The 21103-nt window shown below is 42.8% G+C and overlaps 2 protein-coding genes across 41 annotated transcripts in view, besides 9 other annotated features; one reads left to right on the top strand and one right to left on the bottom strand.

The window, feature by feature from the left end:
- Nucleotides 1-2788, bottom strand: part of ABHD18 (abhydrolase domain containing 18) — a 74548-nt gene extending 71760 nt beyond the window's left edge. For 18 of the 19 annotated variants that reach the window (NM_001366042.3, NM_001358454.3, NM_001366038.3 and 15 more), the window contains exon 1: nt 2588-2788. The gene's annotated coding sequence lies outside the window, so the exon portion shown is untranslated. Of the gene's footprint in view, nt 1-2137; nt 2241-2587 lie in introns of all 19 variants that reach the window. The other variant, NM_001366044.1, reaches the window with a different exon arrangement.
- Nucleotides 909-1408: an enhancer, noted in NCBI's record as "H3K4me1 hESC enhancer chr4:128887941-128888440 (GRCh37/hg19 assembly coordinates)". NCBI's record gives its function as "activates a minimal SCP1, AML or CMV promoter by ChIP-STARR-seq in primed H9 embryonic stem cells {active_cell/tissue: H9 hESC(primed)}" and the evidence as "EXISTENCE:reporter gene assay evidence [ECO:0000049][PMID:30033119]".
- Nucleotides 1409-1910: an enhancer, noted in NCBI's record as "H3K4me1 hESC enhancer chr4:128887439-128887940 (GRCh37/hg19 assembly coordinates)". NCBI's record gives its function as "activates a minimal SCP1, AML or CMV promoter by ChIP-STARR-seq in primed H9 embryonic stem cells {active_cell/tissue: H9 hESC(primed)}" and the evidence as "EXISTENCE:reporter gene assay evidence [ECO:0000049][PMID:30033119]".
- The window catches only part of MFSD8 (major facilitator superfamily domain containing 8), a 48232-nt gene continuing 29359 nt past the window's right edge, over nt 2231-21103 (top strand). For 9 of the 22 annotated variants that reach the window (NM_001363521.3, NM_001410766.1, NM_001371593.2 and 6 more), the window contains exons 1-3: nt 3021-3122; nt 10602-10693; nt 18347-18390. In NM_001363521.3, the coding sequence (NP_001350450.1) occupies nt 3061-3122; nt 10602-10693; nt 18347-18390 (198 nt within the window). In that variant the 5' untranslated portion in view covers nt 3021-3060. Of the gene's footprint in view, nt 2298-2985; nt 3123-10601; nt 10694-18346; nt 18391-21103 lie in introns of those variants that run through there. The other 13 variants (XM_024453982.2, XM_047449993.1, XM_047449992.1 and 10 more) reach the window with 4 other exon arrangements.
- Nucleotides 2305-2534: a silencer, noted in NCBI's record as "silent region_15678". NCBI's record gives its function as "represses an Ori minimal core promoter by ATAC-STARR-seq in GM12878 lymphoblastoid cells {active_cell/tissue: GM12878}" and the evidence as "EXISTENCE:reporter gene assay evidence [ECO:0000049][PMID:35858748]".
- Nucleotides 2589-3204: an enhancer, noted in NCBI's record as "NANOG-H3K27ac-H3K4me1 hESC enhancer chr4:128886145-128886760 (GRCh37/hg19 assembly coordinates)". NCBI's record gives its function as "activates a minimal SCP1, AML or CMV promoter by ChIP-STARR-seq in primed H9 embryonic stem cells {active_cell/tissue: H9 hESC(primed)}" and the evidence as "EXISTENCE:reporter gene assay evidence [ECO:0000049][PMID:30033119]".
- Nucleotides 2589-3214: a biological region, named in NCBI's record as "NANOG-H3K27ac-H3K4me1 hESC enhancer GRCh37_chr4:128886145-128886760".
- Nucleotides 2795-3214: an enhancer, noted in NCBI's record as "active region_21888". NCBI's record gives its function as "activates an Ori minimal core promoter by ATAC-STARR-seq in GM12878 lymphoblastoid cells {active_cell/tissue: GM12878}" and the evidence as "EXISTENCE:reporter gene assay evidence [ECO:0000049][PMID:35858748]".
- Nucleotides 3655-3704: a silencer, noted in NCBI's record as "silent region_15677". NCBI's record gives its function as "represses an Ori minimal core promoter by ATAC-STARR-seq in GM12878 lymphoblastoid cells {active_cell/tissue: GM12878}" and the evidence as "EXISTENCE:reporter gene assay evidence [ECO:0000049][PMID:35858748]".
- Nucleotides 3715-3844: a silencer, noted in NCBI's record as "silent region_15676". NCBI's record gives its function as "represses an Ori minimal core promoter by ATAC-STARR-seq in GM12878 lymphoblastoid cells {active_cell/tissue: GM12878}" and the evidence as "EXISTENCE:reporter gene assay evidence [ECO:0000049][PMID:35858748]".
- Nucleotides 3955-4064: a silencer, noted in NCBI's record as "silent region_15675". NCBI's record gives its function as "represses an Ori minimal core promoter by ATAC-STARR-seq in GM12878 lymphoblastoid cells {active_cell/tissue: GM12878}" and the evidence as "EXISTENCE:reporter gene assay evidence [ECO:0000049][PMID:35858748]".

Genomic DNA, 21103 nt, shown 5'->3' with positions numbered 1-21103 from the left:
CTGTCGCCCAGGCTGTAGTGCAGTGGCGCAATCTCGGCTCACTACAAGCTCCGCCTCCCGGGTTCACCCCATTCTCCTGCCTCAGCCTCTCCGAGTAGCTGGGACTACAGGCGCCCGTCACCACGCCCGGCTACTTTTTTGTATTTTTAGTAGAGACGGGGTTTCACCGTGGTCTCGACCTCCTGACCTCGTGATCCGCCCGCCTCGGCCTCCCAAAGTGCTGGGATTACAAGCGTGAGCCACCGCGCCCGGCTGTTTGTTTGAAAGGGGTGTGGGTAAATATCCTGGGCAGTCACCTAAGGAAATGCACCAAATGGAGTCTCATATTCTTGTGTGAAACATTCGGGAAATAATCTAATCTCTTCAAATTTAGCTCCTCTTTTCCATGGGCTTTATAAAAAAAAATTACATATATATATATGTTTAAATGTTTACTTTGGATGCTATGTGTGTGTTCCTAAGAGACATTTTCTTTTTTTTTTTTTCCTACTGGTACAATACACTAAGCTTACTTAGATTTCACCAGCTGTATATGTACTCATTCCATATGCTTTTGTGGTCTGAAGTCATCACTTGGAGGCACCAATGGAAAAGAGCAGTGTCAGAGGGCTGGGATTCCTCTACCAGCTGTGTGACCTTGAGTAAGCCACCTTAACCTATAAACAGAAAGTAATATCTGCCCTGATACATGATAGCCAATTATTTCACTTAGATAAAAACTGAATATCTACTATATATTTTTATGAGATATAAGGAAAGATTCTTCTTGCCGCTTTGCCATTTTTTCCCATAAGAAGCCTGGTGGTAAAGAGCACAGGCTTAGGATCAGGAGTCCTGCATTTCTTGAATTCTAGCTCTGTTGCTTGTTAGTAGTATGATCCTAGGCAAGTTACTTAATCTCCCTGCCTTCCATTTCCTTGTACACATGAGACAATTCCCCCCTCAGAGGATTGTTGTAAGGATGAGATGAAGTAATTCAATGAGCATTCATCCAACATATATTTATCTAGGAGCCATTCTGCTTACTGCTATACTGGTTAAAAATCCCCTTGTCCACTATATATGTGCCATACATTGCTAGCCCCCAGGAATTAAAAAAGACAATATAATAAAGCGACATTATGGCAAGAAAATACTAACTTTTCTACCTATGTGTCTTTTTGGAACCAATAATACAAATCTGACTTGTTTTTGTGAGCTGTTACAAATGAATCTGCAAGACTGAATCCAAGTACAAAATATCAGGTCTTGATTTAGAAGATATTTCTGAATAGCACGTTTCAAGGTTTTTGGTTTTTTTTTTTTTTTTGAGACAGAATCTCACTCTGTTGCCCAGGCTGGAGTGCAGTGGCGTGATCTCGGCTCACTGCAGCCTCCGCCTCCCGGGTTCAAGGGATTCTCCTGCCTCAGCCTCCCGAGTAGCTGGGACTATAGGCGCCCGCCACCACGCCCGGCTTTTTTTTTTTTTTTTTTTTTTTTTTTTTTTTTTTTGTATTTTTAGTAGAGACGGGGTTTCACCGTGTTAGCCAGGATGGTCTCGATCTCCTGACCTCGTGATCCGCCCGCCTTGGCCTCCCAAGGTGCTGGGATTACAGGCATGAACCATCGCACCCAGACCGCACGTTTCAAGTTTAGGTGTTCACCAGTGAACTGCGCCTGGCTGATACACACAAGGTCACAAATGACACAAAGATCAGAAGTGATGGCATATACCATACATGACTGTGTAACTAGTATAGGACCTAGCATAGGGTAAATGCTCATAAATATTAATTTAAAAAAATTAAGTTTGGTTTCCAACTTTGCCACTTCCACACAGAGTGACTCTGGGTTAACTTGTCTGGATCTTAATTTTCAGTAAACTAGCAATGTGTCTGCTTCGCCTATCTCATAGGATACTTGTGATCAAATGAAATTACATGACAATGTATCTGGCGCTAATAAAACGGTAATTTATGAGACACAGAATGACTACTGACGCCAGCTAGCCTACAAGCCTAATAGTAGAGATAAGATGTTAATACATAACCACCAAGAAATAAACATGGAGATCTAGTGAAAACCCATGACATGTTTTCTAAAAATGTCATCTTCCTTGTGACGAAAGGAGCTGGTCATTGCTAGGCAGGTGCTGTACCTTTTTCAACTCCCACGTTTCAGCAGCAGGCTCTGCTGAGTGACATTTTGCAAGGCTGAGGCCCCCGTAGGCGCAGGCGCCGTTGGGGTGCGCATCCGGGGACCTGCAGGTTACAAGCAGCAGATCCCACCTTCAGTCCTGGCTCTGACAAGCCCTCCAGGTAAGGCGCCTTTGCATTTAGCCGAGCTAGAGAAGAGAGCTGGAAGCCACCTCTACCTTTCACGGGGGGAAGGGACTGCCCGCGCGCTCGCCCCCATTATCTCAGCCCTCCGAAGCGCGCCACGGACTCCAGCCTTGTCTCTCACCCCCAGCCTCACCCCGCGTCCCTGACCCGCGAGTCTCCCGCCCAGCTCCGCGTCCCCGGTCCCTGCCTCCAGGCGCGTACACGGCGCGCTAAGAGGCGCGGGGAGCTCTTAGCGCACCTACTACTTAACCGGACCGGCTACTTACTGGCCGCCAGGTGGAAGCCTGCGATCGAGCTGGCCGGGCCTCCCAGCACCGCCGCTCTCCAGGCTCCCTTTCCAGGACTCAACTTTGGTCCCAGCCCCAATCGCAGCTCCGGTAACCTTTCCAGGAACCGAAATGCTAGATACAGCGGAAGGAGAAACGGAGGGAGGAAGACAAACCCGGAGCAGGGCGGCGCGGCAGTTTGGACACGCCCCGAGCTCTCCTGGGCTCTCAGTCCCCGTCAGGATGGGAGGCGCGTGCCGAGGGAGGAGGCTGAGGACACAGCCTCCTTTCGCCCTGCGCTGCCCGGCCTTCCGCGTGACCCCGCCTATGACCTCGGGGCGTTCCGCCTACGTCTGACCGTCAGGTGCGCACGCGCACTTACAGGCTTGTTTTGCCAGCTTCACGCCACCCGGGATGGGAGAAAGCAGGTGTCGCGAGAGTTGGGCGCAAGACGCCTTGTAGGGAGTGTAACTATGGCCGGCCTGCGGAACGAAAGTGAACAGGAGCCGCTCTTAGGCGACACACCTGGAAGCAGGTGAGCGGATCCTGGTGGAGGGACCCCTCAGTCTCCTGCGCTGTTGGGACTGGTTCCTTTCCGGGCGTCACCCGCACTGGGACAAACCCTCGCTGCCAGAGGGGTTCCAGCGCGGTGGGAGCCGGTGGCTGGGTTGTGTGAGCCGAGGAGATTCGCTCCCAACGTAGGAGAAAGGGCGTCTGGCCGCACCGTGCGGTGATGAGCCCGTGGGTTCGAGTGACGGGGCTGGAGAAACCCAGGCTGCTGCTTTGCCTGTTGCAGCACCCAAGCTGAGAGGTGACAGCGTGCTGGCAGTCCTCACAGCCCTTGCTCGCTCTCCAGGCCTCCTCTGCCTGGGCTCCCACTTTGGCGGCACTTGAGGAGCCCTTCAGCCCACCGCTGCACTGTGGGAGCCCCTTTCTGGGCTGGCCAAGGTGGGAGCCGGCTCCCTCAGCTTGCAGGGAGGTGTGGTGGGAGAGGCGTGAGCGGGAACCGGGGCTGCGCGCCGCGCTTGCGGGCCAGCTGGAGTTCCGAGTGGGCGTGGGCTTGGCGGGCCCCGCACTGGGAGCAGCAGGCCGGCCCTGCCGGCCCCGGGCAATGAGGGGCTTAGCACCCGGGCCAGCGGCTGCGGAGGGTGTGCTGGGTCCCCCAGCAGTGCCAGCCCACTGGCGCTGCGCTCGATTTCTCGCCGGGCCTTAGCTGCCTTCCCGCGGGGCAGGGCTCGGGACCTGCAGCCCGCCATGCCTGAGCCTCCCACCCACTCCGTGGGCTCCTGTGCGGCCCGAGCCTCCCCGATGAGCGCCGCTCCCTACTCCACGGTGCCTAGTCCCATCGACCACCCAAGGGCTGAGGAGTGCGGGTGCACGGCGCGGGACTGGCAGGCAGCTCCACCTGCAGCCCCGGTGCGGGATCCACTGGGCGAAGCCAGCTGGGCTCCTGAGTCTGGTGGAGACGTGGAGAACGTTTATGTCTAGCTCAGGGATTGTAACTACACCAATCGGCACTCTGTATCTAGCTCAAGGTTTGTAAACACACCAATCAGCACCCTGTGTCTAGCTCAGGGTTTGTGAATGCACCAGTCGACACTCTGTATCTAGCTACTCTGGTGGGGCCTTGGAGAACCTTTCTGTCAACACTCTGTATCTAGTTAATCTAGTGGGGACGTGGAGAACCTTTGTGTCTAGCTCAGGGATTGTAAACGCACCAATCAGCGCCCTGTCAAAACAGACTACTCGGCTCTACCAATCAGCAGGATGTGGGTGGGGCCAGATAAGAGAATAAAAGCAGGCTGCCCACCAGTAGTGGCAACCCGCTGAGGTCCCTTTCCACAGTGTGGAAGCTTTGTTTTTTCGCTCTTTGCGATAAATCTTGCTACTGCTCACTCTTTGGGACCATACGGCTTTTATGAGCCGTAACACTCACCGCGAAGGTCTGCAGTTTCACTCCTGAAGCCAGCGAGACCACGGGGAGGAACGAACAACTCCAGACGCGCCGCCTTAAGAGTTGTAACACTCACCACGAAGGTCTGCAGCTTCGCTCTTGAGCCAGCGAGACCACGAACCCACCAGAAGGAAGAAACTCTGAACACATCTGAGCATCAGAAGGAACAAACTCCAGACGTGCCACCTTAAGAGCTGTTAACACTCACCGCGAGGGTCCGCAGCTTCATTCTTGAAGTCAGTGAGACCAAGAACCCACCAATCCCGGACACAAAGCCACCACATTCTGTATCTTCTGCATTCCATATTTGGCCCTTTGTAGCTGATCACTTTCCAGATTTCACAGTTTCAAAATGATGGTTTTAATAGATACTTGAAGGTATCGGTCTTAGTAATGACCTGCTGCCTAATTGCCTGACAACCTCTTGATAGTTTAACAAATCTGTCCAAAATGAGCTCGCCTTTGTCCTATGCCAAATGTACAAAGAAAGACTAATTTTAAGGCATTAAAGGAATAACGTCAGTATTTTGATCCTTATAATTCTGGTTGTTCTGATCCTAGTTTATGGGCAGTGACTCGGGAATGTATACCTAATGTATTTTTACCTTTAGGAAAACGGAATTACTATTTTATTTGAAATATACATAATAATTACCTCAGGTAAATTAATAAATTCAGTTAAACTTCAGCTGTCTATGACCATAATAATTTTTACTCATTTGTTCCCCTTAAGCACCAACCTTTTGTGAGCACTCTAACTCAAAACCCTTTGGCAAATGTATTTCTCTGGTCCTCGATTTACTAAACAGAGTTTATGCAATGCAGTTTTATCTTTACTTGATTTTATCTTGAGATCATTAAAATGAGTTTAGATGCTGATATGAATTTTAGTAGAGTGATGTCCTGAGAGCCTATTGAGACATTTGGGACTGTTTGCTTCTATACCAATTTATTTTACACTGCTATACTTTTTTTTTGAGACGGGGTCTTGCTCTGTGGCCTAGTCTGGAGTGCAGTGGTGAGCCTGGAGTGCAGTTTTATCTTTACTTGATTTTATCTTGAGATCATTAAAATGAATATCGATGCTGATATGAATTTTAATAGAGTGATGTCCTCAGAGCCTATTGAGACATTTGGGACTGTTGCTTCTATACCAATTTATTCTACACTGCTATACTTTTTTTTGAGACGGGGTCTTGCTCTGTGGGCTAGTCTGGAGTGCAGTGGTGCGATTTTGGCTCACTGCCACCTCTGCCTCCCAGGTTCAAGCGATTCTCCTGCCTCAGCTTCTGGAGTAGCTGGGATTAACAGACGTGGGCCACCAGACACGGCTAATTTTTGTATTTTTGGTAAAGACAGGGTTTCACCAGGTGGCCAGGCTGATCTGGAACTCCTGACCTCAAGTGATCCACCCACCTCAGCCTCCCAAAGTGCTGGTGTAGAAGCAAACAGTCCCAAATGTCTCAATAGGCTCTGAGGCCCGTTGCTATACTTTTTAAGTACTTACGTCTGCTTTTTAGTTTTTCTGACAGACTGTTTTCCTCGCAGACTGTTCTGCATCATGTTTTTGAAATCTGGCAGCAACAGTTGTTTTATTGTTGTTGCTGTCACCATACTCTTTCCACCAGCTTTAATTTGGGGCTTCTTGTTTGTTATAGCTTTGATAACCCTGGATCTATGCTTAATGTAACTGTGTGTCATTACAACCTGGTAGTTCTGACTGAGAGCTAAATGTCTTTCCTACTAGTTAAGTGCATAAGCTTGAGTGCGTGGACTTCATGACATTTGGTTTTCTCAGAACTCAGAAATTCTTTTTTTTTTTTTTTTTTTTTGAGACGGAGTCTCGCTCTGTCACCCAGGCTGGAGTGCAGTGGCGCAATCTCGGCTCACTGCAAGCTCCGCCTCCCGGGTTCACGCCATTCTTCTGCCTCAGCCTCCCGAGTAGAGTAGCTGGGACTACAGGCGCCCGTCACCACGCCGGGCTAATTTTTTTTGTATTTTTAGTAGAGACGGGGTTTCACCGTGTTAGCCAGGATGGTCTCGATCTCCTGACCTCGTGATCCGCCCGCCTCGGCCTCCCAAAGTGCTGGGATTACAGGTGTGAGCCACCGTGCCCGGCCTCAGAATTCTTTTTGCTTCGTCCTGGTTTTTAGCTATTTTCCAGATAATTGCAGGATCCCTGAGTTATGTTTAAATGTGGTCTTCTGGTACATTCTGTCACCTTGTACAAAAGAGAATTTTTTTTCATACTCTTAGCTTTGATTTCATCAAAGTGATTGATGCTCATTAGGATCTGTCCAGATTTAGGTGTTCCTGCCAATAATCAATACCTCTGATTGAGGTTCTAGATTTAGCATTTTAAAAACAAAAAGGGAGTATTTTGAAAATAATAAGTATATGTCTTTAAAAACAAGTATATTCCCTAGTAAAGTGAACCTATGTACAACTAGTTGGCAGGACCTGTTCACTTTGAATATATTGCACAAACATGTCTAGGTCACCACCAACTTTTCCTCACTAACAAGGTTGATTATTATTTGCTGGTCTGGTGGAGCTGGCCTCTTGAATCCTCAGTGCTCCCCACTGACCCCCTCTATGGAGCTTTATTTAAGACAACAGGGGTTGGAAAACATTTCCTGTAAAGTCCCAGATTGTAAATATTTTAGGCTTGTTTAGGGCAAGGGGAAAAATCAAGGATATTATATAGGTGTTTAGATAACCAGAAAACAAATTCCACAAAATTTTTTAGTAATGACATTTAAAATATAATAATAAGTATAATATAGGTTTGTTAATGAAAGGGATAGAATTTGGTGGGGGAGGGGATGACATTTTCCTTAATTGCACTTCAGAGTTGGTGTTTTCTGTCATCAAACTGATAAATATTCATCTGTAAAAACCGTTTGTAGCTCACGTTACTGATCCAAGTTACAAATGATTTCAAAATTTTTTTGCAACCTTAGCCTAGTCTCTGTAAAATTTGTATTATTAGGGCATCTGTCCTTATAGGGCATATCTTTATAGAATATTTTCAGTTTATTTCTGTAACTGTTATACCACTACACTGTTCTGTCACTGAGCACACACTTCTTTCTTTTCTCTCTCTTATTTATTTATTTATTTTTTTGAGACAGACTGTCTGTTGCCCAGGCTGGAGTGCAGTGGCACAATCTCTGCTCACTGCAACCTCTGCCTCCCAGGTTCAAGTGATTCTCCTGCCTCAGCCTCCTAAGTAGCTGGGGCTACAGGCATCCACCACCACGCCTGGCTAATTTTTGTATTTTTAGTAGAGACAGGGTTTCACCATGTTGGCCAGGCTGATCTTGAACTCCTGACCTCAAGCAGTCTGCCCGGCTTTGGCCTCCCAAAGTGCTGGGATTACAGGCATGAGCCACTGCGCCTGGCCGTTGTTAAATTTTATCTAACTCATTTTGCTGATCAGTTCACTCCACTATATTGTGTATTCCTTTTAGTTTTTAAGTCACAAGTTTGACAAGCATGCTATCATTTGGAGTATTTCAGTTTGTAATAGAAATGTTGAACAGGATAAAACTGTAGTACTACAGTTTTACTGGAAGGAAAATCTCAAATGGGGAACTAATGCCAGAATGCAGCAGTGATTATAGAAAGGAATTTTAAAAGTTAAGCAAATCATCTTAGAAATGCAGCATTCCTTTTTGTACCCGGTCATACAAGAAAGAAGCCTCTGGAAATTCAATCAGATATGTGACATATTTGTCTGAATCATCAAAGCTAAGAAAATGTAATAAATATGGTCACTTGATTGAAGGACAGTTGCATTCTCCTATATTTCTACTGTCTCCAACAAGGTAGAAAGATAATTTTTTTCATTGAAGTTATACTTTTTTAATTAAAAAAGGAAAAAGTAAATCTTTTTATTTTGAAAAATGTTAAATCTATAGAAAAGATGAAAAAATCACGAACACCTGTATATCCTGTCACTAACTGTTAGCCTTTTCCACACTGCCGAAATCTTTCGGCAGGTACATACACACCCACACGCACCTCTTTTGCCAAACTACCCAAAAGTAGGTTGCAGACATTGTGATACTTTGTCCCAAGTACTTAATTGCAGCTTGCACCTCCCAAGAACAAAGAAATTCTTTTACGCAACTCCATCACTGTTACAACTAGAAATACAATATTAATTCAAGAATATCATGCAATACATAGTTAATACTCAAGTTTTTCCAATTGTTCCAAAAATATACCTTATATTCTTTAAAAAAACAAAAATAAAAAAAACCAGGAGCCATATGCAGGAGATAATCAATGTTTATGCATTTGTTGTTAGGTCTTTTTAGACTCCCCTAACCTAAAACTATCCTTTGACCTATCTCTTTCTTGTCACCATTAAAATCTTTGAAGAGTCTAGGTCAGGTTTTCTGCAGAACATCTAATATTCTGGATTTATGGACTGTTTATTTCAAAATAGATCCTGGTCAAACATTTCTGGCAAGAATATCACATGGGTTATGTTGAGAACACCCCACTACATTACATCAAAAGGTACAGGATGCCAGGACATCCCACTACTGGGAATGCCAAACATGACCACTTGTTAAGAGGGTGACTGCTATATCTTTCAATTATAAAGGTTCATGTTCCATTTTGTAATTAGTAAGCAGACACTGGGGTGACATTTGAGGGCCTTTGACTATCCTCTCCTTAACAATCTTCCAGTCAGTTGTTTTAGCATCCATTGATGATCCTTCCATTATAGCATAGAAAGTGGCCATTAAATTATTATTTTCTAATTTTATCCTTTCAATATTTAATAATTGTCATTTGTCATTAAAAGAAGAAAGATTTTGTCTGAGCTCTAAATCAGTCACTCAAACAATTTTATTATTTTTTTAGAATCAAATAATTTACTTCTTGATTCCCTAACTTAGATATATCTGGTTTTTTATTCAAATTCTAGTATATTGATTTCAAAGTATGGGCATCTAGGGTTCTGGTATTTTTCTCAGGTAAGCTACATTATTTTTATTTTTTTCTTATCTCCTTTGACTCAGAAGAGGTTTGTTTATATGGAATGACATATATAGTGTTAAACACTTTAAATATATTAGGAACTAATATGTTTGGCATATAATACATCTAAAAACATTGTTTCTCTTCTTCCTTTCCTCTTTACCACTCCCAACCATATCACGTTTGAAAAAAAAAAGTTTCTTTTTTGAAGACTAATTTGACAGTTCTAAGGCTTATTTTTAAGAAATTAATCTTGGAACATAAGAAGGCATTTTGTCTGTTCTGCATGTCTTGATTATTTGAAAAGATAATGCTCACGTTAAGGTGAACTTGTTAACTCTTTCTATTGTGTGTGTGAAAATGTAATGAGTATATAGACTCATGTGTCACCTAATGGAGGTAAGATATCTACTTAGTATACATGCCTTTGGTCCAGATCAGACGCTTATCCAAAAGATCACTTAAGTCTGGGGAGTCATGGTCTCTCTTTGGTCTGCTGATAAAATTTATCTGGTAACCCATTTAGGAGGTCCCAGGGCTGAAAATGTCTTAGGTTACGTTAAACCTTCCTGGTATCATTCCTGTTTTCTGAAGTAGGAAGCCAAAAGAGCTTCCTGCAGCAATTTAATTTGCTGTCATCAAGTAGAGCATGTTATAATGATGACAGTTATTATTTTTTAGTACTTAGTAGCTACGGGGGATCTAGTTGTAGCTAGTTTATTTGATTTATCTTGACGTAATTTATTCATTTTTACAAATTGCAACACTCTTGATTAATAAATCTGTGCATGTCAATGGTAGCAAAATAATTGCCTTGCAAAAAGTTTCCTCTTTTAAAACTATACTGTTTCCCAAATTTCTGTATACAATAATGCATATATACAATCCATGGAAATTCAAAAAAATAATGCTTATTCATAGATAAATTAGTGTAGCAGAATCAATATTGGTAAATTCTACCTCTATCACATCATTTTCATAACTAGAGAATAAAACTGTTGACACTTAAGATCCACATGTAATGAGATAAATTTATACTACTTTTTTCTTCTTTACACCTAGAGAATGGGACATTTTAGAGACTGAAGAGCATTATAAGAGCCGATGGAGATCTATTAGGATTTTATATCTTACTATGTTTCTCAGCAGTGTAGGTAAGTATTAGAAATACATAATTTTAACAATTCAGATCAGATGTCATATTTTAACTTCATTTACTTCATTTACTTTCATTGCCTCTGAAATTATCTTTATTGTGCTAAAAAATACGTGACATAAATTTACCGTGTTACCATATCTAAGTTCAATAGCCTTAAGTATATCCACATTGTTGTGCAACCAATCCCTAGAACATTTTCATCTTGCAAAAGAGAAACTCTATACCCATTAAACAACTCCCTATTTTCCCATCCCCCAAGCCCTAGCAAACTTTGTTTCTTGGAATTTGACTATTCTAGATAGCTCATATAAATGGAATTATATAGTATTTTTTTTCTTGTGATGAGATTATTTCACTCAATGTCCTCAAGTTGGTTCATGTTGCACTTGTGATAATTTCCTTTTATTTAAAGGCTGTATAGTTCATTATATGTATTCTAGGGTAGGAGAAATTTTTCCTCTATTCTCCTATGTGCTTAAGGCTTGTGAATTAAGCTGACAAAAGAAAGACTAACAGTTAAAAAAGTATACAAATTTATTTGATGTTAATATTTTTTAATGAAAAGAAACAAATAACATTAAGGAATGTACATACAAACGAAACTAGACAACTACTAAGAGTCCCTAACACTTTCATGTACTCACAAAAGTATTTCATCTTTTTTTTTTTTTTTTTTTGAGACGGAGTTTCACTCTTGTTGCCCAGGCTGGAGTGCAATGGCACGATCTCAGCTCACTGCAACCTCCACCTCCCAGATTCAAGCGATTCGCCTGCCCCAGCCTGCCAAGTATCTGGGATTACAGGCATGTGCCACCACCCCTGGCTAATTTTGTATTTTTAGTAGAGACGGGATGTCTCCATGTTGGTCAGGCTGGTCTCGAACTCCCAACCTCAGGTGATCTGCCCACCTCGGCCTCCCAAAGTGCTGCGATTACAGGCGTGAGTCACCGCCCCCAGTTAAAAATATTTCATCTTTTTTCTTTTTTTTTTTTTTTCAAGACGGAGTTTCGCACTGTCGCCCAGGCTGGAGTGCAGTGGCGCGATCTCGGCTCACTGCAAGCTCCGCCTCCCAGGTTCGCGTGATTCTCCTGCCTCAGCCTCCCGAGTAGCTGGGACTACAGACACCCGCCACCACGCTAATTGTTTTATATTTTTAGTAGAGACGGGGTTTCACTGTGTTAGCCGGGATGTCTTGATCTCCTGACCTCGTGATCTGCCAGACTCAGCCTCCCAAAGTGCTGGAATTACAGGCCTGAGCCACCGCACCTGGCCAAAAGTATTTCATCTTTACAGCCATCAGTCAATTATTTGTTCTGCTACTTCTTGAAGATGTGCAAAATTTCTTTTTAAAAAAATTTTATTATTTATTATTATTTATTCATTTTTTGAGGTGGAGTCGCCCAGGCTGGAGTGCAGTGGTGTGATCTCGGCTTACTGCAACCTCTGCCTCCTGGGTTCGAGCAATTCTTGTGCCTTAGCCTCCCGAGTAGCTGGGACTACAGGCGCACGCTATCACGCCCAGCTAATTTTTTTGTATCTTTAGTAGAGATGGGGTTTCACGGCGTTAGCCAGGATGGTCTCGATCTCGTGACCTCATGATCTGCCCGCCTCAGCCTCCCAAAGTGCTGGGATTACAGGCGTGAGCCACCCCGCCTGGCCAGTGCAAAATTTCTTAAGTTTAAATATACAGTCTTAATTATACCTGTGTCTTAATGTCCCAAGACAGATTGTAGGTAACAGAATCTCAATTGTGCCTCAAAGAATTAACAACAAAACAAAATTCAATCTATTCTCTGCATTCAGGCAGAAAGGGGGAGAGCAGAGAACCCTTCCTGCATCTGCTATTTCTCGGTTGCCTTCAGTTTGAGATAATTAATATGGCAAAACAGCAGATTTTTGGAGTAGCATACTCTGATTGCCTTCAGTATATACCACATTTTTTTTTTTTTTTTTTTTGAGACAAAGTCTCGCTCTGTCGTCCAAGCTGGAGTGCAGTGGTGTGATCTTGGCTCACTGAAACCTCCGCCTGCGGGGTTCAAGCAATTCTCTGCCTCAGCCTCCCAGGTAGCTGGGATTACAGTCACCCACCACCATGCCCGGCTAATTTTTGTATTTTTAGTAGAGATGGGGTTTCACCATCTTGGCCAGGCTGGTCTTGAACTCCTGACCTCGTGATCCACCGGCCTCAGCCTCCCAAAGTGCTAGGATTACAGCCTAGCCTGGCCTACCACATTTTGTTTAGCCATTTATCTGTCGATGGACATTTGGGTTGCTTCCACCTCTTGGCTGTTGTGAATAGTGCTGCTGTCAATATGGGTGTGCAAATATCTCTTCAAGATCCTGCTTTTAGTCCTTTTGGGTATATATCCAGAAGTGAAATTGCTGGATCATATTATGATTTTCTTTTTAATTTTTTAATTTTTTGGAAAATTGCCATACTGTTTTCCATAGCAGCCGTACCATTTTATTTACATTCTCAACAACAGTCAGGGTTCCAATTTTTTCACATCCTTGCCAACGTTAACTTTCTTTTGGATAGTAGTCATCCTAGTGGATGAGATGGTATCTTGTTTTGATTTGCATCTTCTTAATGATTAGTGATGTTGAACATGTTTCTTGTGCTTTCTGTCCATTTGTATATCTTCTTTGGAGAAGTGTTTGTTCAAGACCATTGCCCATTTATTAGTTGGATTTTTTGTTGTTGAGTTGTAGGAATTCTTTATATACTCTGAATGTTAGCCCCTTATCCAATATATGATTTGTAAATATTTTCTCCCATTCCAGGACTCTTCTATTCAGTGTGCTAAATGTATCCTGTGATTCACATTCACAGAAGTGTTAAATACTGATGTAGTCCACCTTCTCTGTTTTTTTCTTTTTGAGACAGAGTCTTGCTTTGTTGCCCAAGTTGGAGTGCAATGGCACTATCTCGGCTCGCTGCAACCTCCCGCTTTCGGGTTCAAGCTATGCTTGTGCCTCAGCCTCCCTGGTAGCTGGGACTGCAGGTGTGTGCCACCACACCTGGCTAATTTTTGTATTTTTAGTAGAGACGGGGTTTTGCCATTTTTGCCAGGCTGATCTCAAACTCCTGACCTCAGGTAGTCCACCTGCCTTGGCCTCCCAAAGTGCTGGGATTACAGGCATGAGCCCCACACCTGGCTGTTTTTATCTTTTGTTGCCTCTAACCTCAACTTATTTTTATATTGATAAAACATACAAAAAGTAAAATACAAGAATCTCAATTTGTATTGCTTGATGTATTTTAACCTATTCACATTATTTCTGAATATGTAGTTACTAAAAAGTAAAACTTCATGAGGAAAACTTTTCAAAATATTAAACATCTATAACCATGTTAAAAGGATGGGATGAGAATATATAGGAATGATCAATATTGTGATAGTTTTTAAAGGACTGTTTTAGGAAATGAATTTTTTTCCAAGTAGAAACCCTCTAAATCTATAGGCACTAATATTACAAGTGGTCTCTTTCCCCTGAGAGGAATTAAGGAAGGTCATTTTACTAAATTGCTTTCCATATATTTTCCATATATTTTCTATTTACCCCAATCATCCTGTTTTCTCTCACTTGCCAAAGTTGTGCATGATTCAGTACTGGGTAAAAAGAAAAGTGAATGATAAAGGATATTTTCAACAATTCTTTATAATACATTTTCACCTTGCATTGTGTATCAGTTAGAATGACTTGTGCAGGGCCAGGCAAGGTGGCTCACGCCTGTAATCCCAGCACTTTGCAAGGCTGAGGCGGGCGGATCACGAGGTCAGGAGTTTGCGACCAGTCTGGCCAATATGGTGAAACCCCATCTCTACTAAAAATACACTTGAACCCAGGAGGCAGAGGTTGCACTGAGCCAAGATCACACCACTGCACTCCAGCCTGGGCCACAGAGCAAGATTCCGTCTCAAAAAAAAAAAAAAAAAAAAAAAAAAAACAGAATGCCTTGTGCAAATATCAGAAAAAGTGCTGAATCAGTTGGCTTATACTGTAACGTAATTTATTCTTTTTTTTTTTTTGAGCTGAGTGCAGTGGCACGATCTTGGCTCACTGCAACCTCAGCCTCCCGTGTTGAAACGATTCTCCTGCCTCAGCCTTCCAAGTAGTTGGGATTACAGGCATGCGGCACCATGCCCAGCTAATGTTGTATTTTTAGTAGAGACGGGGTTTCTCCATGTTGGTCAGGCTGGTCTTGAACTCCCGACCTCAGGTGATCCGCCCGCCTCAGCCTCCCAAAGTGCTAGGATTACAGGTGTGACCTGTAAATTTCTAAACCAACATCAACTAAGATGATGGGATTACTCCAGTTGAATTTTTTAGACTAATCAGAATGTACCCTCTGGGATCGAACATGGAGAGAGTTTCTCTTAGACCATGAGGCTTTGTTGAGGAAGTATGGATACCTGAATAGAACTGGGGTTCCATCAAGAAGGTGGAAGGGGCCAATGGATACTGTTTTGGTAGCAATGCCTGCAATTGATTTATTTTTCCATTTTAAACACTTCTGGTTTTTAGTACTCAATTATCTAAAATTATAAGAAACAATTTCAAATTCAACAGCAAAAAAAGAAAATTATTTTAACTTTAGATTTTTTTTTTTTTTTTTTTTTTGAGGTGGAGTCTCACTCTGTCTTCCAGGCTGAAGTGCAGTAGCACGATCTCAGCTCACCTCAACCTCTGCCTCCCGGGTTCAAGCGATTCTCCTGCCTCAGCCTCCTGAATAGATGAGACTACAGGTGCCTGCCACCACGCCCAGCTAATTTTTGTATTTTTAGTAGAGACGGGGTTTCACCATGTTGCCATTGCTGGTCTTGAACTCCTGACTTCAAATGATCTGCCTGCCGCAGTCTCCCAAAGTGCTTGGATTACAGGCATCATCCACTGTGCCTGGCCAACTTTAGATTTTAATTGGCATGTTAAACATTTTGTTTACAAATTTCTGTACTCCAAAATTGTAGCCTTGATTTAAAAGATTAATTGGTGCTTTCAGTCCTTTACTGATCAAAGTAACTATGTCAATTCAAAATACTTTAAAATGAAGCTAATATTTATTTATTTTTATTTATTTATTTTTTTTGAGACAGAGTCTTGCTCTGTCACCCAGGCTGGAGTGCAGTAGCGCAATCTCTGCTCACTGCAAGCTTCGCCTCCCGGGTTCTCGCCATTCTCCTGCCTCAACCTCCCGAGTAGCTGGGACTACGATGCATGCCGCTACACCCGGATAATTTTTTGTATTTTTAGTAGAGACAGGGTTTCACTGTGTTAGCCAGGATGGGCTCGATAGCCTGACCTCATGATCCGCCCACCCAGGCCTCCCAAAGTGCTGGGATTACAGGCATGAGCCACCGTGCCTGGCCTGAAATGAAGCTAATAATTAAATTATGTTTTAAAATAGGGTTTATATAAGGAATGTACATGTACACCATGGATGAATCTTGAAAATATAATGCTAAGGCCAGGCGCGGTTGCTCACACCTGTAATCCCAGCATTTTAGGAGGCCGAGGCAGGCGGATTGCAAGGTCAGGAGATTGAGACCATCCTGGCCAACATGGTGAAACCCCATCTCTACGAAAAATACAAAAAATTAGCTGGGTGTGGTGGCACGTGCTTGTAATCCCAGCTACTCTGGAGACTGAGGTGTGAGAATTGCTTGAACCCGGGAGGCGGAGATTGCAATGAGCCGAGATTGCGCCACTGCACTCCAGCCTGGTGACATAGCGAGACTCTGTCTCAAAAAAAAAAAAAAAAATACTAAGTGAAAGAAGACAAGACAAAAGACCATGTATTATATTATTCTATTTGTATGAAAATACAGATAAAACTCTATAGAGTACAAACAAAGTACATTAGTGGTTGTTTACAGCTGGCAGGAGAGGGGATGAAACAGGGTGATAGCTGAAGGGTATAGAGTTTTTTTTGAGGTGACAAATGTGTTCTAAAATTGACAGTAATGGCTGGGCGCAGTGGCTAATGCCTGTAATCCCAACACTTTGGGAGGCAAGGCAGGCAGATCACCTGAGGTCAGGAGTTCGAGACCAGCCTGGTCAACATGGTGAAACCTCATCTCTACTAAAGTACAAAAATTAGCCTGTTGTGGTGGCAGGAGCCTGTAATCCCAGCTGCTCGGGAGGCTGAGGCAGGAGAATCGCTTGAATCCAGGAGTCGGAGGTTGCAGTGAGCCGAGATCGGGTCACTACACTCCAGCCTGGGCGACAAGAAACTCTGTCTCAAAAAATAAATAAATCAAATAAAATTGACTGTAATGATGGTTGCACATATCTGTGATTATATTAAAACCCATTGTGATTATATTAAAACCCATTGAATTGTATACTTTAAATGCATAATTGTATGATATGGGAATTATATATCTCAACAGCTATTTTTAAATTTATTTTTTCTTTTTTTTCCTTTTTTTTTTTGAGACAGAGTCTCACTCTCACCTAGACTGGAGTGCAGTGGTGCAATCTTGGCTCACTACAACCTCCGCCTCCGTGTTCAAGCAATTCTCCTGCCTCAGCCTCCTGAATGGCTGGGATTACAGGCATGCGCTACCATGCCCAGCTAATTTTTGTATTTTTTTTTTGCAGAGAGGGGTTTCTCCATGCTGGCCAGGCTGGTCTCAAACTCCTGGCCTCAAGTGATTCACCCACCTCGGCCTTCCAGAGTTCTGGGATTACAGGCGTGAGACACTGTGCCCAGCCTCAGTAAAGCCATTTTGAAGAACAGGCTTTATAGAATTTCTTGATTTGCCCAACATTTATTTATTCATTTTTAATTTTTTTTTGAGATGGAGTCAAGCTCTGTCACCCATGCTGGAGTGCAGTGGTGCGATGTTGGCTCACTACAACCTACTCCGCCTCCTGGGTTCAAGCAATTCTTCTACCTCAGCTTCCTAAGTAGCTGGGATTACAGGCATGTGCCACCATGCCCGGCTAATTTTTATATTTTTAGTAGAGACAGGGTTTCACCATGTTGGCCAGGCCGGTCTCAAACTCCTGACCTTAGGTAATCTGCCTGCCTCAGCCTCCCAAAGTGCTGGGATTACAGGCATAAGTCACTGCTGGCTGCATTTGCCTAACATTTAAAATTGACAGATAGTGTTGGAGTTAATCATTATAGTTTTCATGTAGTAAAGGCTAGCAGAAATAGTGAATTTTCTTTTAAGGTATGGCCATCTTGAAGTATTCTGGTTTTCTATAGCCCCCCTGTAGATGATCATTTTCCTTATTCCTGCTCTTCCCTTCAGTCAATTATCTCCTCCAAACAACACAGGATAGAAGCCTAGCACTTCCTGTCTAACAAAATAGCCTTTCCTCCATTCATTTCTGCTATAAAAACTTAACAAAGCTTTTGGTTATTTCCATTTACAGTAAAAGCACATGAGTATGGAGAAGTAGATCCTCTGCTTTTTTGTATTTGTTATTATGATGAGGGACTGTAATTGTATGTTCTTTTAGTCTTTATTTTTCTTCTGATAATTAAAATCTCATTGCCTCATAAATTAGGCATTTGTATGCATAGATTTTAGGTTCAGAATATTTTAAAATCCATGCCACGGTTCAGAAAATTGTATCTGTAATAATGATTAAATTATTATAAGTATAAATAACCTAGTTTGCTTCTTCACAGGGTTTTCTGTAGTGATGATGTCCATATGGCCATATCTCCAAAAGGTTTGTACATTTCAATCTATTTTTCCCTTATAGCTACAGTAGTAGTAACTCTTACGTAGTTAAGCATTTTCTAAAGAGTCTCTTTGGTATTCTATGGTTTAATCTTTACAAGAATAATGAGATAATAGTTCCTTAAAAGAGGCTTATAAGTAATGTGACCATATGCTTTATTGTGCAAGCCAGAACACTTTTGTAGTGAAGAGACTGCTACGTAAGGAAAAATAGGATCATACCCAGATAGTCCCAGGCAAAGGTAGATGTATGGTCACCTACTCAGAAGCCACATTCATATTCCATCATTACCTCTTCCCTAATAAAAAGGAAACTAGTAATAGTCTGAATTCCTAAAGTGTGTAAATGATATTTTTGTGGAATAATTTAACGCTTTTCCCATAAAATTAATTTGGGCTATCAGGTAACATTGTAAAGACTAGAACATATGTATTTTTTGATGCTGTTATTACTAGAAGGGGAAGAGGGGGTGACATGAATATGTAAGTTTGTTAGGTAGCTTAACATCAGTTGATCATCAGGTCCTGTCAGTTCTATCTTAAATCTCCAGGAAGAAACTTAACTAAAAATCAGTATATAAGTTGGTTACATAATTCATCTATAACAATGTTTTAGTAAAGGTTCTTAAAGAGTTCCTCTGTATTTCCTAACCTACTCCTTAACCTACTGCTATCTGATTAACTTTTCTGCTGTCCTGAAACTGCTCTTGTAAGGTTTCCAATTACTTAATTGTTGATCACGAAATACTTTTCAGTCCTTATTTTAGGTGACACCTGGATAGGATTTGACATTGTTGTCCTCTCCTTACTTCCTGAAACCACCTGTATTAGTCTGTTTTCTGTTGCTTATAACAGAATACCCTAAACCAGATAATTTATTTTAAAAAAGGAATTTATTTCTTACCGTTACAGAGGCTGAGAAGTCCTAGTTTGAGAGACCACATCTGGTGAGGGCCTTCTTGCTGGTGGGGACTCTCCGAAGAGTCCCAAGACAGTGTAGGGCATCACATGATGAAGGGGCTGAGCATGCTAGCTCAGGTCTCTCTTCCTTCTCTTATAAAGCCACCAGTTCCACTCCATGATAACCCATTAATACATAAATGGATTCATTCATGAGGGCACAGCCTTCATGATCCAATTGTTAGTTGGCAGATCTGTGTCTGTACAGGTCTGCAGCAACCTCAATTCTTGCCTCCTGAAAGAAATAATTCAAGTAAAGGACATAATGCAGAAGGAGAAACTGAGGCAAGTTGTAGAGCAGGAGTTAAAATTTATTAAAAAGCTTTAGAGCAAGAATGAAAGGAAGGAAAAGAAGGAAAGTACACTTGGAAGAGGGCCAAGTGGGCAACTTGAAAGACAAGCCTGCGGTTTGACCTTTTGACTTGGGATTTCATACACTGGCATAATTTTGGGGTCTTGCATTACTTCTCCCCACTCACCCCACCCCTGAGATCGTATCAGGAAGCTGCTAATTACCAGGTGTTTTCTATTTATTAGGAGGCTGCCTTTTCCTAGCACTAGCTGTGACCAATAATTACTTTAGAGAGCGTTAACAACCGCCTGACCATCACCTAACAGTCTCTCCACACTCCCCATGTGAGGGGCAGGGGAGACCTCTCCTGCCCTGTTCATACCCAACTAGCTACCTAATGTAACACAGTCACTTCTTAAAGGTCCTACCTTTCAATATTTTAATAATATTAATTTAAATATTAATTTCCAAAAAATGAAATTTGGGGGACACATTCAAACCATGGCACCACCTCTTAGCTTCTGTGACATTTCTCTATCCTGGCTTTCCTCTTAACTCTAATGACTTATTCTTAAATTCTTTTGTGTATTCTTCCTTATCAGTTTATCCCTTGTTGGTTTTTCTATGAGGTTGGAGAGAGAGTGTGTGTGTGTGTGTGTGTGTGTGTGTGTGTGTGTTCACACGTGCATATGTGTGTTTTATCCTAGATTCTGAACTTTGTCCCATATTAGATGTATAGCCAACAATTTATTAGATAAATCCATGGTACTTGGATGAACCCAGGCTCCTCAGGTCTTTACACATTTGTCTCCCTTTTTACTGGAATGCTTTTCCTCTCTCCATCTTTCTTTTGCTCTCCCCTTTCTCCTTCCTCACTGTCTTTTATTCACTCTTCAAGGTTTTGCTCCAGTGTCACCTCCTCTGGAAAGCCTTCTCTCTCTCTCTGTTTTTTTTTTTTTTTTTGCAATGGAGTCTTGCTCTGTTGCCCTGGCTGGCATGCAGTGGCGTGATCTTGGTGCGCTGCAATCTCTGCCTTAAGGGTTCAAGCGATTCTCCTGCCTCAGTCTCCCAAGTAGCTGGGACTACAGACGCCAGCTACCACACCCGGCTAATTTTTGTATTTTTAGTAGAGACGGGGTTTCACCATACCGGCCAGGCTGATCTCTACCTGACCTCAGGTGGTCCACCCACCTCGGCCTCCCAAAGTGCTGGGATTTCCACCTCCTGGGTTCAAGCGATTCACATGCCTCAGCCTTCCAAGTAGCTGGGATTACAGGCACCCGCCACCATTCCTGGCTAATTTTTATAATTTTAGTAGAAGTGGGTTTTCGGCATGTTGGCTAGGCTGATCTCGAACGCCTGACCTCAGGTGATCCTGCCTCAGCCTCCCCAGTTGCTGGGGTTACAGATGTGAGCCACTGCACCTGGCCTGGAAAGGCTTCTCTCACTG

The sequence above is a fragment of the Homo sapiens genome, chromosome 4, assembly GCF_000001405.40.
Source record: "Homo sapiens chromosome 4, GRCh38.p14 Primary Assembly".
Lineage (NCBI taxonomy): Eukaryota > Metazoa > Chordata > Mammalia > Primates > Hominidae > Homo > Homo sapiens.
The sequence above is the reverse complement of the archived record's forward strand: the minus strand, read 5'-3'. Positions and strand labels throughout refer to the sequence as shown.